Here is a 20,744-nt window from a genome sequence, read left to right as displayed (position 1 = left end):
ATATTGACAGCAATTTTCCTCTAATAAAAACAATGTTAGCACCAGCTGGACCTGTCTTAAAGAGCATCTATATACTTATACATATATATATATATATATATATATATATATATACACACACACACACACATACACATACATATATATATATATATATATATATATATATATATATATATATATATATATATATAGTTAACGGCCTTCCCAGAGGTCATGGAAGAAAACAAAAGTCATTTTAAAAACAATGCACTAAAGTTATGCACTAAAATGTTAGCCACAGTTATTTTGACTTGTAAAGTTGTAAGCAATTTTGTTTTTTGTCTTGTATCCCTCTGTGTGTTTTAACTTTGTCAGTAATCCTATATCACTTTTGTAGCCAGATATATAAATGTTCTTGACAGGAAAATAAGAAAGCACCTACCTTAATCATTCAGTACACTGTGCAAACCTGTCAAAGAAGGAGAATATTCTTTAAGGTTAGAAACTGTATAATATAATACATAATGAGAACATAGCATGAATTATGCATTGCTAAAACCTGAAGATAATAAGATAAAGACAAAATCTCCAATCTTAAAAACCCAAGTCTAGTAATTCTCATCTAATTTTCCTCCTACTGTTTCTTCTATTTCTATTAATACCACACCATTCACTAATTTGCCAAACTTCTAAACTGCAATTATTTCTGATGTTGCTTTCAACCTTTCCCATGAATCTAATCAGAGATCATGTCATATTTATTCCACCTTCATAATTTTTCAAATACCTCCTCTCTACTTTGTTCCTAGTTCACTAGTACCCCCATTAATTATTGCTATCATTTTTCAATCATAGGACGTTTTAACTAAAAATATCTAAGAGAATTTTAAATAACTACTTCAAATCTTTCGGGAAAAAATAGAACTCACCAAAATTAAACTTCTTGACTCCAAATAATAAGTGGTAAAACTAGGTCCTGAACCATTCTTCATGGCTCTGGATTTAATGAACTTTTCACCACACCTGTCTTAGCTCATTTTTTGTTGCTATAAAGGAATATCTGAGGCTGTGTAATTTATAAGGAAAAAAAGGTGTACATTATATAATAGCACACACTTCAGCAGATTGTACAAGAAACATGGCACCAGCAACTGCTTGGTTTCTGGGATGGGGCCCAGGCTACTCACTAAAAGGCAAAAGGAAATTGCCAGGCAGAAATCACATGGTGAGAGAGGAAATGAGAGAGAGTGGGGAAGGTGCCAGGCTCTTTTTAACAACCAGCTCTCTTGGGAACTAACAGAGCAAGAACTTACCGCCAAGGGCGGCCATTTATCTATTCATGAGTGATCCTACCTCATGACCAAAACAGCTCCCATTAGGCCCACCTCCAACACTGGAGATCACATTTTACCATGAGGTTGTGATGGGACAAACATAAAAACTATAGCGACACCATAATATCTGGTTTAGAATAATTATAGATGATTTATGGATTTTCTCTGGGTTATACTAGGATAGGACTACTTTTCAAATTATACCTAGTGTTTTCCCACTTTCACTTTTATAACTCACTTAGACTGTTCTATCTAATATGAATGTCTTTGAAGCCACCCTGATTCTTCAGCTGGACAGACTTGGTTATATTCAAGGGATTATGTGGACAATGTGTCACCTATCTACATACAGATTCTTTGCATCATTTATCCAAGAGTCTGACATTAAATTATGTAATTTTGTGCAAATTACTCTTTCTCTACTTTCTTGACTTCAGTGGTAAAACTGGGATAATACTATGATCTTTGTTATATAATTATATGAGGATCAACTCAGATAATACATGTAAAAGGTGCCATTTCAAGCCTCTTTAGGAATCCATGATGAAAAAAGGTGCTTCCTTTTCTCATCACAGCCTTCTCATTGCAATTTGTTAAGAAATTTGAAGATCTCAGAAGGAAAAATTATTTGGCCATAAAATGTCTTCCAGATGAACTTTATCATAAGCATGTGGAAATTTTAAAAAACTTAACAATGGTGTTTCTACTGAAGAGAATTGTGCAGTCCAGATGGTTCCCTGATTTGACATGCATGAGTCAGCAACCCTACAACCCAAATTTGCCTTTCCTTTCCATGCTGGCATGTACGGAGTCTTTGACAAGGAATTCGAAGTTTGAGGTCTCATTTTATCTTTGTCTGCTATTCAGCCAATGTATGAAACATCCATTTCACTTCTTGGTTTGCATCTCTGTAAAGAACTCCCCTATTTGAAGTTTCTATGGATGGTTGGAAATGGGGACCTAAAAAAACAGACTAGAGAGAATCTAAGTGAGCAAGCCCTGATTGCTTCATACAATTTAGGTTGAATAGCAGAAAACAAAAATCTAGCTTTATACCATGATAGTGTGTATACTACCTGAACACTTTGGAACTTGTAGCATAATTTGATTTAATATGGTAATGAGAAATGTCAGAATTTAGATAGAAAAAAATAGCATCAATTATTCATTGGAGGAAAGAAAACTTTTTAAATATAGAAAGTTGCTTATTAGATATTCCCTTTGGTTAAATCAAAACTTTAGATTTGCCTAATGAAGATAGCTATGGCTTTGGGGCCATAATATTCCATTTGATAGACTTTGATTAATAAATGTGACTTAAAGGAAGATTTAAAATATTCTATCTTTGAGAAGTGTTCAATCAGATGAACAAAAGGTCTTCAAATATTTAAATTCACTGGTGGAGATTTTATACAAACTTACCCAAAGCACTGCTTTAATCCCAACTTTTTTTTTCTAATAAAATAAAAGACCTTGCTGTGCTCAAAGGCACAGATCAAATCCCAAGGATTAAGATTTAAATGAGAAAGCAATTAAAACAAGCCTTCTGACAGAGGTTTCAGATGGTATGGTAAAGAAGTTGGACACATTACCATTGAAAAAGATAGAAAATTAGCTTTTAAAAATACTAATACTTCATTTTCCTCCAAAATAATGGTTCTGAATTTATAAGGCTATAAAAATCTCTGTGAGAGGAAAGTAATCACTGGGCCACCTGAGCCACACATTTAAATGTCAGTGAGAAAAGCACACTGGAAACTGCACTCTTGGTTTGTTTTCACTCACTGTATTACAAGCATGATCCTCAGAATACAGTAAAACTGGTATGTAGGAGGGCATGGGTATTAGCAAATTAAATTCCATGGCTAAAATAAAAATGCTTGACTAACATGTTTCATATTTTTTACAAGAAACACTGCAAAAAAATTAAAAATAGCTTACTTCACAGCCTTATTAAAAGGATAAAACAATGCTGCTGCTGCTGCTGATTTCATAATGGTAACAGTAATACGCCTAATTATCCTTGGATGTTTTTGTGTTAGCAGCAGAATGATGTATCTCAGTCACATAGCACCAAAGTATATTACCAGCAATGAATCCATATGGGTCTGCAGTAACTTCAATTATTGCCTCATCAAAAGAAAGAATTCTACTGAGGGGCATAGGCAGAAGGAGAGAAGAAGGTAAGTTTCAGAGCAGGAGTGAAAGTTTATTAAAAAGCTTTAGAGCCAGAATGAAAGAAGCAAAGTACACTTGGAAGAGGGGAAAGCCAAGCAGGCCACTTGAGAGATCAAATGCATAGTTTGATCTTTTGACTTGGGGTTTTTATATGTTGGCATACTTCTGCGGTCTTGTGTTCCTTTTCCCCTGATCTTTCCCTTGGGGTGGGCAGTCTGCATGCACAGTGGCCTGCTAGCAATTGGGAGGGGAGCATGCACAGAGTGTTTACTGGAGTTATATGCATGCCCACTTGAGGAATTTTTCCATTTTTCCCTTCCTCTAGGAGTGTTCCTAGAGGAAGATCTGCTGCCATTTTGCCTCTTAGTGTGCATGCTTGAGACCACTCGCCCAACTCCTGAAATCTCATTGGGAAGCTGCTCATCACCACTTTCAAGTTTATTTTTATCTAGTGGAAGATCCCCCTTCCCTGGAGCTGGCTGCGACCAATTATTATTTTAGAGGAACACTTAAGAACCACCTGACTAACACCTGATGGTTGCCTGACATTCCTTGTTGAGGGCAGGGGGAGCCCTCTCCTGCCCTGCTCATGGCTGACTAGCTACCAACTGTAACCCTTGGGTAGGGATAACTCATATCAACTTTAATTTTGTGATCTAGAAATGTAATGTTGGACATAGAAAACATAGAATATTCATCTTTTTCTGTTTTATATAAGGCTTTCCCCTAGGAATATTTTGTAAACCAAATTTCTTATATCGGTTTATTTTCTTATTTTTATTTTGTTATTAGTAGAATTTAGTAATTAAAAGTTCTGGATATTTGACTTTCCATAAACCAAAGTCTATGATATAATTCCCTGGAATTGATAAAGATACAATACAATCGGTAGCATTAACAAAGAAATTAGAAACTTTATCAGAAAGTGTTTTATTTCAAATAATCTAAAGCTGACTTTGAATTTAATCCTTCTGCTTTTATTAGGCATGAATTTAGATTAGGTACAAAGTAGATCCTGAAAGTATTATTCCATTGTTATTAGGTTTTAAAAAATGAGGAAGGAGTACGAAATAAAAATCAAATATTTGCTGTCTTCTATCTTGAAAAATGTGCATAAAGTCAAGAAAAAATCAGTTAAAAAGGGTTTTATGTTTGTAGTATTACAATTCTAGAATATATAAGACAATAGAGATCTAAAATGTCATTTTATATTGCCAGCGATGAAAATCCAGAGTGTAGTTTCCTGATAGAAGCAACATGGTAATCTTAACACAGTGCATGTCAGGAAGGAGGCAAAGGTGATGGAAAATGCCGCATCTGAAGTGGAAGTCCTTGTATCTACCTATTTACCTTTGTTCAGGAATACCTCTCTGAGTTTTCTTTGAGGAAACCACATCTCTCTCCTTTTCAATCTTTGTGGAGCTAACTTCACCCCAAGCCTCCAGGGAAGATATGATTGGTCCCAATTGCAGCATCATTGCGCTGAAAGCAATGAATGACACCATGAAGAGTAACTATGTATATGTTGTGGTTGCTAAAAGATTGCCCAGTGCTGCTCTTCCACTGACTCTTGTGGAGCTGGTATTTAGTAATATATCATGTGTGTATCTATCCATCTGATTTATATAGTCTTCTCCAGACTGCTGTTAGAAAGAAATCCTGAAGTTGTAAATTCAGGCCTGAGAAAAAGATGCCCTGTCCTGATGTACAGAGAAGGGGTTCAAAGCAATCTAGGAGGCTTGGTATTTAATATGCCTCTAACTTCACCCTGGGTGGTTGGGTTCAAAAGAAAGGATAGTAAAACCTGTAGTCCACAAGCACAGCAAAACACCCTTGAAAGAAACTAATGACATCTTTAGAAGTCTTCGCATTTGTATCAGGAGCAATAAAGCAATGTCCATTATCAGTGCTTCTAGTTAGCATTGTACTTGAGGTATTGGCAAATACAGCATGACCCAAAAAAATAAGGAAAATAAATATTTGGAAAGGAAGAAACAAAACTATAACTTATCTTGGGTCACATTTTCTACATAGAAAATTCAAATACACAAGTTATTAAACTAGTGAGATAAGTCAGTAGGATTGCTGAATATAGATTTAGTGTACAAAATCAACAGCATTTCTATAAATCAACAATTAGAAATGTATAACTTTAAAATGCCACTCAAAGTAGTAATGAAAACTATAAAATATCTAGCATCTAACAAAAGATATGTAAGCCCTTTGCAAATATATATATATATATATTTGCTTTATTAAAAAGCATAAAATAACACCTAAATAACTAGAGAGATATGCTACATATTTTAGACTGGAAAAAGCAATTTCAAGAAGATGTATTAATTCTTGACAAATTCAAAGCAATTAAAATCAAAATGCCTGCACAATTTCTCCTGGAGATGATGAAGGGATTCTAAAATTACTACAAAAAAAATAAATGATTGCAATCAAAACACTCCTAAAAATCAATATGAAAACAGTTCCAATGATTGATGCAGGTAGCTTGTCTTCTTAGCCATCAGAAGATATTACAGAGCTATAGTAATTATGTTAGCATGCTGTTGGGCCAGGAATATACAAAAAGAACAATGGAACAGAAGAGGAAATATATATGATAGATGATGCTGGAACAAGTGATTATTCATAACGTATATACTCCCTACCTCATGCCACATACACAAATGAATTCCACATCAATTAAAAACTTAAATTTTAAAAGCAACTTCAAGGCAATTTACACTTTTAGAAGAAAATTTAGACCTACAGTAGAAGAAAATCTCTTTAAAAAATACAAAAATTCATAAGAAAAATACTTGATAAATTTGACTACTTTTGAATTAAAAAATATCTGTATAAAACATTATCAAAACGTTAAAACTCAAGCAGAAGGAGGGAAGATATCTGCAGTGCTAATAATCATAAGCAAATAGTCTCTAGAATACATTAAAAATTCTTAAAATCCACTTAAAATAAAAATAGAAGGATGAATAAAAATATTAATGTCTATATAAAATAAAAATAATAGAAAGATAGATAAAATATATTTTCCTTTTTAGTAACTAAACAGGAAAGTTAAAATCACCAAAGTATAAAAAGGTGTTTCACCTGACTAATAAACAGTAAAATTCAAAATAATAAATAATAAAACCATAATGATACTACTCCACATCCAATACAGTAACAAAAATTAATGCCTGTTGGCAAAAATGCTGGAAAGCAAGAACTCATTCATTTCTGATGGGACTATAATGTGGAAAGTAATTTGGAAATATCCACTCAACTTGAAGAATATAATCTGTGATCCACAACTCCATGTCTAGAAATTTACCCTAAATAAACATTTACACATTTTCAGTAGGAGACACATTCAGAAACAATAATTATAGAGCTGTTTGTAACTGTGAACAAAGTGAAGAAAGGACCGTATACAGTTAGATTCATTTATTTATGAATAATATCAACAATGACAATGAGCCACATTTCCATGAATAAACAGAGACAAATTTCAAAAACATTAGGTTGCATGAAAAAGCCTGTTTCAAAAGATAACAGTCAGAGTAATATAATCTGTATAAAATTTAAAACATACAAATTATATAATTTATATATATATATTTCATGTCAGACATTGTTATTTGCCTGCTCAACATTTATTTTCTCCTTCTTGATTACTAAAGTATTCCATTTTGTTCAGAGTGGTGGTGTGTTCACTTAAAAATACTCATACCCCAAACTCCTTGCAATTAGGGATGGCCATAGCCCAAGTCTAGCCAATAAGAAGGTCAAAGAAGCCTATTAGTAGAGCTTCTGGCTTAGAGTATTATTATTCTGGTCAGTCGGAGCAGACTCAGCTACCACATGACTTTTGCCTAACCCCCAACCTCCATGTTTCTCTCCAACACAGATGCAAAGCCCAAAAGTAATCTTCTGACTATTAGCATAAAAGCTGAGTGATAAAATGATACAGTAGGAAGCTAGAAGGTGTATCTGATTGACAACGTGAAGTCACTGATTTGCATCAGATTCCCTTCAGTGACTTCTAACCCATGTTTCTCATATGCACTGTCAGAGATAATCACACGTGACTGCTTTGTTGGTTTTATCCCTAACAAATGTGAGAACAGTAGAAATAAGAAATAAAAAGAAGATAGACACCAAGATTTAAGGGATAGGGGGCTTTCGTTTTCACCATAATCTGTAACTCTTTTCCTCCACAAATTATAAAACCGATGAAAATTTTCCCCTTCCTTTCTGCCAGAGTGCTAGCCCTAGGCACTTTTGATTCAGAAATTCTAAAACTACTCTGAAGCTGAGGGAGGTGGAGAACATGGGAAAGTGACAAGGAGCAGTTCAAGAGGCGTGCAAAAAGAAATGTCAAGTAACTTATGGATTCTGTGAGTGAGAAAAATTCTAACTTATGGCAAGTAACAACAAATCAATCTGGACGATGAGCAAAAGAAGTGCATAGGCTGCTTGCTAGCCAATATAGATGACCTCAAACCTTGTTTCTACCCGGTTTCCTTCTCTATTCTTCAGCAACTGTAACTCACACAATTATATACTTAAACTCCTTGATTGCTGTCTGTTCCTCATACAGATTTGGAATGACATTTTGAAGTTGCAAAATTACTGGTTTTAAATTTGCTTTATTTTGTTTTAAAAACAGTAACAATATTAGAACTTAGATCCTTGCCAAAGATTGGAGTCTCTAGAATCAGATGTTGCAGCCAGGCACAGTGGCTTACACCTATAAGCTCCTTGGAAGGCTGTGGGGGGAGGATCCCTTGAGCCAGGAGTTTGAGGCTACAGTAAGCCATGATGTAGAATCGGATGCTTAGAAAGTTTGTTGTGCAGAATATTTACTAGGGATCAATGCCTGTGAGAATGGAAGAAGAAAGAGAGGAGATAGGATTGGACAGAGGGAGAAAATGAAGTACAGAGCCAACTAAGCCTTTCTGGCTCCTCAGGGAATTCTGGAGGTATATGGTTCATCAGTGTCAACTCACAGGGGCCAGATAACAGCTGGCCTCTATCCCGCTGCAGTTTATCTCCTTCCACTCATTGATATGATCATCCTGGGAAAGACATGCTTTTGGATAAGGGGAATCTCTAAAGCTGAGGTGAACCCTAAAGGAGCTGAAAACTGGGGGCTCTCAACAGATTGTACTCTCGGCAGCTGGGAAAATACACCCTTCATTGAAGTGGGATGAAGGCAGTACATCTCGGGCCCCCACAATTCTTATCTGAGCTCTGCTATAAATATCTATGAGCACTTGGATAAGCCACTTAATAATCTGTGCCTCAATTTCTTCATTTATTAAATGAAGTAGCTGGACTGGGTGATTTATTAGGTTAATAAAAACTTTAAAATCATTTTGTTCTCTATTTTTTGAAGTAGGAAAACCACCTTTTTCATTTCTCTTTTTTTTTTTTACCCCACCTTTGCCTAAAAGCAACTACAGTGAATTTTGACTTCTTCTAAAGGATTCATTATGTACCTTTAAAACCACAGAATTAGGAAATAATTTAAAGATAATGATCATAGTAATAATAATAATATTAACAACAACAGCAATAATGGCTACAACTTATTAAGCCTTTTCTACATGCCTGGTGTTGTGCTAATGATTCCAATTATGTCATTTCATTTAATCCTCACAAGCCTACTACACAGTATTGTCAATCTGACTTCACAGATAACAATGAGTTTTGCAGTGGTAAGACAGTGGACAAAAGTCATACATTGTACACATTAAAGAAACAGAACTTGAACTTAGGCCTGGCTGATTCCAGAACTTGCAAGGTTCACGATCATACCATCCCATGAGTGCATTTCCCTTCTTAATAGTGGGATATTTTCATGTAAGTATCTAGGTTATTTTTAAAGACCTCCAGAAAACTGCAATCTCAAAAGATATTCCAAACCCATATCGAAAAACCATCATGATTTTGTACTGTGATGATTGATTAACTCCCCTCTCCTAGTTATTCTTCTTAGCATATTTGATATAATCCGTTATGCTGAGCAGGCAACTTCTGTACTTCCTCTTTTTATCTCATCCCTGTCAAGCAATATCAATATAAGTTTATAAAGAGAGATTTGATTAAAAATGCATCTATATGCTGACCGTTAAATTCTGTAGCTTGCATGTTAAAAATCTCAACTGGCAAGCCAAAAACATTGAAGGATCTCTCAGCATCAGATATGATTATTGATGGAAGCAATGGTCTTCCTCTCTTGGCTTCCTTTCTGAAGCCTCTGTAATAATCTTTGCTTCCTGCTTTCTGCTATAGTGGATACCCTTGGGATTGTGACTGGTTTAAATTTATCTCCTCTATTTAAAGATGTTAGCTCCTAGCAGCCATGCTGAACTTTCACCCTGCGATTCTGGCCATGGCAAATTGGTCTAAGATGGATTCAGATTCAAGTCGGACTAATAAGACTCTGGCCCCCCTGAATTTAGAATTTAGAAGAAAGTGTCACAAAGACTGCTAGGTATTTGCAATTGAGCTGTTTTAATGGAAACAATTTAGAAAGAAGGCCCACATACTACCACGGTCATAGAACCAACGTGGCTTCAGGCCTTTCTGAAGTTTTCAGTCAATTTTCCCCTATGCTTAATTTAATCAAAGTTCAACAATTATTACCTTCCTTTCTATCCCTCACTTCCCTTCAAAAAAGCCAGACAAGTATTAAAAAATACTTTTATATGTATTATCTTATTTGATGCTTGCAACAAGTCAAGTATGTTGGAATGAGTAGGATTTACCCCATTACATAGATAAGTAAACTGAAGTTGGAGGGGTCTCCCCCTTCACAAACAACAGGCAGTAATAAAGTTAAAAATTCATTATGGACAATCTGCAACCTGAATATTGGCCATTCCTGCAGATAATCAAGCTTAACTTTTCCCAGTGGTTTTCACAATAAAGTTAATAGTGCTTAGAGTTTGATTATCTGGTTCTTACATTCTCTAACTTACACCCTGTGTGAAGCTATTCCTAAGTATTCTCGGGTATCCAAGTACATACTGTGCTCATTTCTCTGCTTAAAATACCCTCTCTACATCTCCTTCTCTGGTGCCTACTTTTTAAAGACTAAACTTGTGTGTCACCTTCTCCAGGAAGCCCTCTCAGATGTCATCCTTATGGGTTGGATTTTGTCTTCTCTTTTCTGTAAACACAGAACCCTTACCACTGTGATTGTATTTGCAAATGATAGATAGATCTACTTTCTTATCATACTATACTAAAATCTTGTATTTGCTTGCCTGTTTTCCCTATGCTGTTGTAAGTTATTTGAGCCAATAAATCGTGTATTACTAAACCTTGAATTCCAAGGACTATGTGTCTAAAAAAAAGGTAAGTAGGTGCATCATAACATTTATTGAAAGAAGAAAAAAAATCTACTTCATTAAACAAAATTATAGGCCAGGCAATGGGCTAGATGCTATAGATAAAGAAATGAACGAAACAGATACATGTCCCTTAACCTCATGGAGTGTCTAATCTAATGGGGAAAATAAATAATAAATATTTTTATCCAGAATGTGGTGGTTATTTGAAAGGAGATGGCTAGGGTACTATGGCGACAGGTGTAAAGGAAATTAACTTAGTCTATGGACATGATTCTCCAACTTTATAGCTCATAAGAATCACCAGAGATGTTCAATCAAAATGTAGACACCTGGCCCCTACTTCCTAGTTCAACATGAGAAAAGCTCTGAAATTCAACTTGTAATACATACTCCCAAATAATACTCATACAGGGAACCCGAAAAGCAACACTAACATGGGAATCAAGATTTTTCTCTCTGAGGAAGGTAATTTTAATTTTAATTTGAGACTTAAATAGGGAGTGTGATTTAGCTAAGCTAGAAGGGATGTGGGAAAAAAGCTAGCGGTTTTGGTCCGATGAAAACTACGTGACCCAAAGGAAAGACAGAAAAATAAAATCATGTCCCTAATAGGGAGCATGAGTGATACATGAAAGACTAGAAGAGAATGAAGAGGTCATTGGGAAGGTCTGAGTCGCCCTGTTAAGAATATAGGCCATTAACTTAAGGGCAATGGAAAACCATAGAAAGGTTTTAGACCTTACAACCTCTCTGTGCCTCGGCTACTTCATCTATAATTACACCTACATCACAGACTCTTCGTAAGAATTAACTGAGAACAGTGCCTGACACATAGAAAGCATTTAATATGTATTCTAGATTATCATGAGGATAATGTTTGTATCTGGATTGTTTTTAAAATCTCCAGCAGAGCTGAGGACGGAGTTCAAATTGAATGAAATACTGAACAAATTGAATGAAATACTGAACAAATTGTAGGGCCAGCAATCCAAGCAACTCGATGAGTCTGGGGAAGGAGGATGTGAAACAGTAGTGCAAATGCTAAGAAAATAAGCACTACTTAAAGAGACAGAAGGTTTCAGGGGATGAGCAGAAGTTTCTCAGACCATAGTACATGAGACACATAGGATCAGAAATGATTTACTACTGACACTGGCAGCTGGGCACTTTTTAATTAGTAGAATTAGAAGAGTGCTTAAAGCTGGCTTTGTGAGAAGAATTTAATTACTGTCTTTGAAAGTATAACCCTTAAGTCAGAAAGAGGCAGCTCAGTAAAAAGGTGGCTTGTAGTCTGGGCCTAATGCTCAGCTAGAGTGAGTTAAACCATTATAATACCAGCTACCAGCTAATCCTAGAATGTGTGCTAAAATCTCTCATTATCACTTCTCCTCTGGTGAATCCCAGGAGAAGGCAACTTAGGATTTGTGGCCACCTGCAGCATCTCACTCATCAGCTAATTCCTCTCCCTTCCAACTGCTCTGCTTAAGAACAAGCAAGGACTATCAAGGCCAAGTAGCAGCATCCAGCCTTTGGCAGCTCTTACCTAAAAGCATCTTAAAACACTTCCAGGTAGCAGCCAGAAATGCTTAGGTTGGAGAAAACTGGCCTACTTGCATGAATTTTGTGCATCACAAGGAAATGGGAATTTTGTGCATCTGAACTAAAGGATATATCTTCTCTGTTTCCCATCTTCAATTCTATGAGTGGTTTTTAACTACGTTCATTTGTATTTGGAGAAGATGTTTGTGTTTTGTATTTTCTTGTTTACTAAGATGAAAATGTTCCAGACACCAAAGATGACCAATGAAAATGATATTCAGAGGTTCTCATTTGATAATTATGAGGACTACTCCAAGAATCTATTTTTGAAGGCTTACAAATGATTCTAATATTCAGCCAGGGCTTACAAACCAGAGAATTACATAAAGTTTGTTTAAGGCTCTCCTCATAGTTGCAAGTACAGAAATGCACTCATAGCAGGAGAGTGACACAAACTTGAATTCCCAAGATGCTGAACGAGAAGATGATAACCAGAAAAACAGATATGGGTTGGGGGCTCAGCACATACTCAGCTACAGCCAATTGTTAAGATGTGGAAATGCTTGCCCAGTATTGTCAGATCATCTCATCTTTCAAGAGCAGCTAAGATTCTAGATGTTTGTGGTATGTAAAAATCCTGAGATTCAAACATTGAATTTTTAAAACTCTCATGAAATTTACTAAAATAAATTTTTTAACAAGATCCCAATTTCAAAGAGACTCTTATAGCCCTTCTAGGATCAGGTGTCTAGCCCCAGTCATACTGATTATAACCAATGGGTAATATCTCATAATAAATCAACATCACCCCTCTTGGGAACTAAATGAGTAACCAGTTACAAACAAATGGGAGAGGGCTTAAATTACCCACGAGTATCCATTCTAAAGAATCAGAAAAATAGAATAGAGAGACATTTCTCAAAGCAGAAACCTAGAGGTGAGTGAGGAAAGGTTATAGAAAGAGAGATTTTGATTCTTGAGTTATTTACCAATTGAATAGCCTTCTTTGTGAAGTGATGAGTCTTCAGTCACTGCAGCATTCAAGCAGTGTTTGAAAAATCACCCAATGAGGCTCCCTTCACGTACACATCCAATGACCACTCATGCCTCTTCCACGCTAATATTGTATTCACATATATCATTCTGCTGGTTTAAACTCTGAATATTCCTCGCCTCATCTTGTGAAATTTAATAAAACTTACAAGGTCATTGGTTTGGACTTCTCCCACACTGGACCCAATAGACCAAATGAAAATCGAATTCCTCATGCTGAAGTTGCATGCCACCAAGCCAAAACTAAGCTATTTATCTGACCTTCCAAGAAATCAGGAGAGAGAAGGAAATAGCCAAATCCCCAAACAGGCCAGTTTAAGCCAGCAAGATAAGGCACTCCCCTCTGCTTTAACCTTTACACAAAAAGTAACTGAAATGACCAATCTGTTTTTTGTTCTGTTTCTGGTTTCCTCAGCCCTTTTCTGTCTATAAAACTAACCTCCTCTGCTCCACTCATCGGGACATTCATTCTATTTTGGAGAATGGGGTGTTGCCCACTTCTAGAATTGCAAATTAAAGCCAATTAAGATCTTTAAACTTAACTTGTTGTAATTTTGTCTTCTGACAAATTGAATGTATCCCAAAAGAATATACAGATTAGTTTTCCAATCAGAAGAGACTTACAGTAAAAGATGCCTGTAGGAATACGTTCTGGTATATGCAGAAGAAAACTTGTTATCAACGTAACAGGCTTCACATTTCATCATGTGTTAATTTTTCCTTAGCACTTCTTTTTAAAACTTGGCAAGTTCCTTCACCAAAGGAGATTACTAATCTTTCTTTTACAGAATCAGTGTCTCAGTGTCAGGCCTTTCTAAGGGACGTATTGGAAAGAGGAAGAATCACCACTGACAAGTCTGCCAGATTCCAGGTCAGGTTGGAAGATGCTGTCCCTGCAAATAAAAAGATAACCAAAAGCTCTTTTTTAATAAAAAGAATAGTTTCCAGACTCCATGAGAATTAAGTCAGCTGCAAAGTTTCCAGAGAAAGAATGCAGCTGGCCAAGTACACCTGGAAGTCTGAGGATGAAATCATAATTAAACTTATAATGGATTAATGACTGAATGTCCTCATGCATTATCTTATCTAATCTTTGATCCAACCCTTGAAAGTAAGTATGATCATCCCCATTTTATACATGAGTAAAATGAAGCTTATAGAGACTTTAATGAAAGGGCGGCCAAGAGGCAGAGACCTGAGTTTGTGTCCTAAATTTTCCAATTACTAACTACATGGTATAGGATTTTTCTGTGAATGTTAAATAAGATTATCTTAGCACAAAGAAAATCTTGACAAATATTAGCTGCAATTGTAACAGCCAGTAAATGATAAAATTAAAACTCTAACTGATGCCTAAATGAGTTGTTTTGGACTTAAATCGACTTCAATATGGGTTCAGACTCTGCCAGGACAACTTTTCTACAGGGAGAAGTTATGACTTGCTTTATTGGCTCCATCTGAAACTCATTGACCGAGTCAATGAACCAGACACCACTGTCTTTGGGATTGACTTACTGTTGCTACCTACTTAACAGGATTTTTATACAAATCTTGGCACCTTACTCATGAATGGCTTGTTCTCATCTCTGTCCTACACTTACCACCTGGCTGTATGAGTTATATCTCACCATCACAATACTGTGCAACACATAACCACAAAACCTCAGTGGCACACAACCATAAAGTGTTTTTTGTTATGCTCACAAGTGAGCATGGCTGGCTGGCTGGCTGGCTAATTCTACGGTTCTGGGCCAAACCTGTCTGAATTGTTCATGAGTCTGTGGTCAGCTGGCATGTCAGCTGGTGCCTTACTGGTCCAGGATGGCTTTACCAGCAATCATTTGTCTCTGCTCCAAATGTACAGTACTCTAATCATCAGCAGGATAGCCTGGGCTTGGTCTCATGCAAAGGCTCAGGTCAAAGAGGGAACAAAAGCCCAACAGGCCTTTTGAGACCCAGGTTTAGAATTGGCATATTATTTCGCCTATAATCTATTGACCAAATAAGTCATAAAACCAAGCCAATGTGTAGGGGTGGGCAAACAGACTCTACTTTTTAATGACAGGAACTGTTAAGTCACATTGCGAAAAACATTGCAATGATGGAGCCATTTCTGAAATCTACCTCACTGCTCTATCATTGCTTGAGGTTACAAGTTCAGTGACAAGGCCTTAGTACCAGATGAAACAGAAGACCCATTATGAATTTGTAAAAGACATTAAAAATATTTTTTATTATGAATTTCAAAACAACACATGCAATGACTTTGTTATATGCTTACCTCAAGTCTATTTGCTCTTCTAAAAGGAATATCAAGGTACATTTTGATACCTAGTTAGTACTACTAATCAGTTAGTACCACAATCATTGTAATAATCACCTTTAATTTGGGGGCAATGGGAAGAAGTCATAATGGCTTCTGACCTTTTTTATTCTACCAATATTAAGGAATTGTTCCCTGAGTGGGAAGATCAATCTGTCCATTATCCTGAGACTTCTATTCTCATTCAATACAGAGTAGAAGCATGTTTTTTTTTACTCTTAGTCACCTAGTCCAGGAAAAATAAAAATATTATTAGTCTACAATTTCAGGAATAGCTGATACAACCCTATTGGTTTAAGATTCTTTTTGAATCAAATACCAACCTTATACCAACACATTTAATATAAAATAGCTCTGTCATATGTCAATCCAGAACTTGGAATACATTTCAGTTATGAAACTTTAACAGCAAAGCAGTCTGAGTCCTGAAATAGTCTTCCACATGAACATTCTCTAGTTTTTTTTATTTCTAAGCAAAATTGCATAAGATTTATAATCTCAGTTGTAGATCAAAATCTGCTTTAACTTAATGGGGAACATGTAAAATTATGCAATCCTTTTGAAGGCTTTTCTTACACCAGTATAAAGCTCAATTTTATTTAGCAAATATTAACAACACCCCTTAATAAATGCTTAGGGCTGCGCAGCATACATAGAATAAGGTGTAGTATGTGTCTTCAAGAAGTCAAAAGTCCTATAGATTTTATTTTCTCATAATTTGTCATAGTTCTACCTGTATCTGCATCCTCATTAATGCATATTCTAACTATCTTTCACTTGGACCATTACAAGATTCTTTCTTTCTTTCTTTTTTCATGTCTCATCACCATCTAGCCTACACACCATTGCCTAATTAATCATAGAAAACACAAATCTAACCACGTTTCTCCAGCACACAGAAAACCACAATGGCCTCCATTGCCCACAGATTAACTCCAATCTTCTCTCCCTGATGCAAAAAGCCTCCTATGATCTCTCCAACCCTATTCTTGTTCATCTGATTCCTGTTTCATTTCACAATCTATGGTTTTTTTCTACTCAAAACTTCTTGTCCTTCTATATCCCCACATTCACATTGTAATCTTTATTTATGTCGACCCCTCTTTCTGCAATGACTCTTCCTTACATCACCAACTTTCCTCTCCACCTCTCTCTGTTCTGTATCACTAAATAATCATCTTCTTTGGTTCACTGTAGCTCTCCCCTCAGGCCTCTCTTCTTCTCAGTAATACTGACCACTCCTCCTTTGTGGATGCAATGTGACCTGCTTACATTTCTATCATAGCACCTGTCTGACTGTACTCATTCCCATCTCCTACTCAATTATCAATAGGATTTTATTCATTCATGTGTCTTTGGCATCTTCTACATTATGTGGTATAAAATATATACTCTAGGAATGTTTCATCAATCAATCAATGGGACAATGAGTGAATAAATGAGTATGTGTTGGGACCATGGGACATTTATGGATATTTGTCTTAAATGTGTTGCCTGTATACTTAGTGCCAAATAAGCAGTGTGGCCAGTAATACGGAGAAGCAATATGGCCTCATGAAGGGAAGGTGGCTATGGGTTACTGCCATATAAGGTTTAAGACTTCAAGTAGGTCTTGAAAAGTAAGTAGGCTTTCATATATGTAGACAGAACTAGGAAGGGCACCAAAGCAGAAAAGAGAAAGTCAGAGAAAAATAGAAAGGAGAAGTAGAAAGGTGGAAAGTGTTTTGAGAGTAGAATTGTTGCCATTCTCCCTGTGGATTTCCTGTGGGACACTAGTGACATGTAATGGGAAGATAAGTTAGAGTAGTGTTTAGGATGTTGAGCTTTTACAAATTGGAAATTACACATATATTTGCATGAATAAGCCATGCCAATGCTCTATTTTAATTTAATTTTTCTACCATGTTCCTTTTTGTATGCTGCAATTCTTTCACACTGGCTGTGCGTGAAAACCAAAAACGCCTCTAGATTACAGCCTTTGGAGTTTAATGAGAATGGAAGAAATTGATAACGTTATTTCTTTCTTGTTAAGATCCTTTACTTCTAGGGGATTAATGTTGGGGGAGGCCATTTGGTATTCCTCTCGGATTGTTAGCCACCAAATGAGATATCAGGCTGCTAATGGGTTTTATGCTCTCCCTCAGATAGCCTGTACATCACTGACCTTTCAAAGTTTGGTAACATAATTGGTTGGCACTGTTTTCTCTTTCCCCCAGGGTTACTGAAACTCTCAAAGACAAGTAAGAGAAAGGGAAAGTTAAATATTTGCCAAAAAAAAAAAAAAAAAGAAGAGAGAGAAAGAGGGAGGGAAGCCAATCACAAAAGATCAGGATGGATCAGAACGGAACAAATCCATCACTACTGCCAGAAAAGCAAGTATATTCTCAGCTGACTGCAAGTCCAACTTATGATTTGCAAAGCCTTGAAAACATGATCCATATATCATTTGACATCTATACATTAATAAATGATGCATTTCAGTAAAACATTAATTCAAGGACTAAAAAAATGGAGGATTAGGGTAATAACATTTTCAGATTACCTAGGTAATCAGAAGGCTTCTTTCATTTCAACCATTTCGAAAAGTATTGTAAGCTTCACTAGAGTATAAAACACTCAGTTACCTCATTTGTTGAATCGGTACTATTTTTCTGATGTCTAGAGAAAATAGGTTAATGTTTTTCTGGTGGTGAGTGAAGATTTCATTAATACAGTGTAGAATGATGCTCTGAAGAATAAATACCATTTTCCATGATTATGAGTACAAAAAATAGAGATGAAACTTTACAGCCTGCCTTGATTCTAGTAAAAAAACACACTAACAATTCTGCTTAAATGGTATCATTTAGAATCAAGCACATATGTTAAGGGCTTGTGTTAGATACTATTCAGTTGCCTAATATTAAACTTTATAAAGAGGAAAGAAGGAGGGAAACACGATGGGCTCATGCAACTCACCAAGCAAACCCCAACAACCAACCCACTGTGGCTTCTACAAAAAGCACAACTATTGGGAGGCTGAGGTAGGCGGATCACGAGGTCAAGAGATCAAGATCATCCTGGCCAACATGGTGAAACCCTGTCTCTACTAAAAATACAAAAATTAGCTGTGCTCAGTGGTGCATACCTGTAGTCCCAGCTACTTGGGAGGCTGAGGCAGGAGAATCGCTTGAACCCATGAGGCGGAGGTTGCAGTGAACCAAGATCATGCCACTGCACCCCAGCCTGGTGATAGAGTGAGACTCCATCTCAAAAAAAGTAAAATAAAATAAATAAATCGCACAACTAAAGGTGAATAGAGATTTATAGGGTTTTATTTCAGAAGGAAATACAACCACTTCCCCTAGATGATATGTTCACTAATATTTATATAGAAATATTTAACATTTGGCTTTGTTTTAACACACTTTCAAGCCACATAGAAATGTATATACTTGCAATAACACAGAGTCATCTATCTATTCTGGGATGTTTATATTACAAAGCTAATGTTCTATTTCAAATGAGACTTTTAAAAATATTTGTACGGATTTGAGGTTCACAGAATGCTGGGGCAGAAATAAGGAATCTTTCATACTCAGACTTTTGTTTTTTACTCTCTCATAAAAGATTAAAATCTGGGACAATTGTATTAAGTTACGTATGTACCTGTGGAAGATTGTGCAGTTCATACTACTATAAAGAACTGCTTGAGACTGGGTAATTTACAAAGGAAAGAGGTTTAATTGACTCACAGCTCAGCATGGCTGCGGAGGCCTCAGGAAACTTAGCATCATGGACGAAGGTGAAGAAGAAGCAAGGCATCTTCTCCACAAGGTGCCAGGAAGGAGAAGTGCAAGCAAGGGAAATGCCAGATACTCATACAAGCATTATATCTCATAAGAACTCATTCATTATCATGAGAACAGCATGGGGGAAACCACTCACATGATCCAATTACCTCTACCTGGTGCTGCCTTTGACACGTGGGGGTTATGGGGATTATAATTCAAGATGAGATTTTTGTTGCATTTTCCAAAGTTGGCTCAAATATCCTCTCCCATCTCACAGTCTCTTCTTATAATATAACTTTGACTCTCCCATCCAGTGGCAAGATCTATATCCCCTCCCCTTGAACCCAATCAAAGCTTTGCACCTGCTCAATCAAGAGGGTGTAACAGAAATGAAGCTCTGTTACTTTCAAGATTACAAAATAACATGCCCTGAATTTTCACATTTTTCTCATAGGACTTTTTTTCTTTTGAAAACCAGCTTCCATGCTGTGAAGCAGCCCAAACTATCTTCCATGGAAACACTACACAGAAAGGCCTCATAAAGAGGCAACATTTAGGTGTTCTGGCAAATAGATGACCTGAAGTCCCAGCCAACAGTCCACACCATCGTACATGTAAGTAAAAATGTTTCTTTGGTTGGTAGGCTATTAATTACTGCCTCAATTTCAGAACTTGTTATTGGTCTATTCAGGGATTCGACTTCTTCCTGGTTTAGTCTTCAGAGGGTATATGTGTCGAGGAATTTTTCCATTTCTTCTAGATTTTCTAGTTTCTTTGCATAGAAGTATTTATAGTATTCTCTGATGGTAGTTTGTATTTCTGTGGGATCAGTGGTGATATCCCATTTATCATTTTTTATTGTGTCTATTTGATTCTTCTCTCTTTTCTTCTTTATTAGTCTGGCTAACAGTCTATCTATTTTGTTAATCTTTTCAAAAAGCCAGCTCCTGGTGTCATTGTCTTTTGAAGGGGTTTTCATGTCTCTATCTCCTTCAGTTCTGCTCTGATCTTAATTATTTCTTGTCTTCTGCTAGCTTTTGAATGTGTTTGCTCTTACTTCTCTAGTTCTTTTAATTGTGATATTAGGGTGCTGATTTTAGATCTTTCCTGCTTTCTCCTGTGGGCATTTAGTGCTATAAATGTCCCTCTAAATGCTGCTTATCTGTGTCCCAGAAATTCTGATATGTTGTGTCTTTGACTCATT

Source organism: Homo sapiens, chromosome 11 (assembly GCF_000001405.40).
Source record: "Homo sapiens chromosome 11, GRCh38.p14 Primary Assembly".
NCBI lineage: Eukaryota > Metazoa > Chordata > Mammalia > Primates > Hominidae > Homo > Homo sapiens.
The sequence above is the reverse complement of the archived record's forward strand: the minus strand, read 5'-3'. Positions refer to the sequence as shown.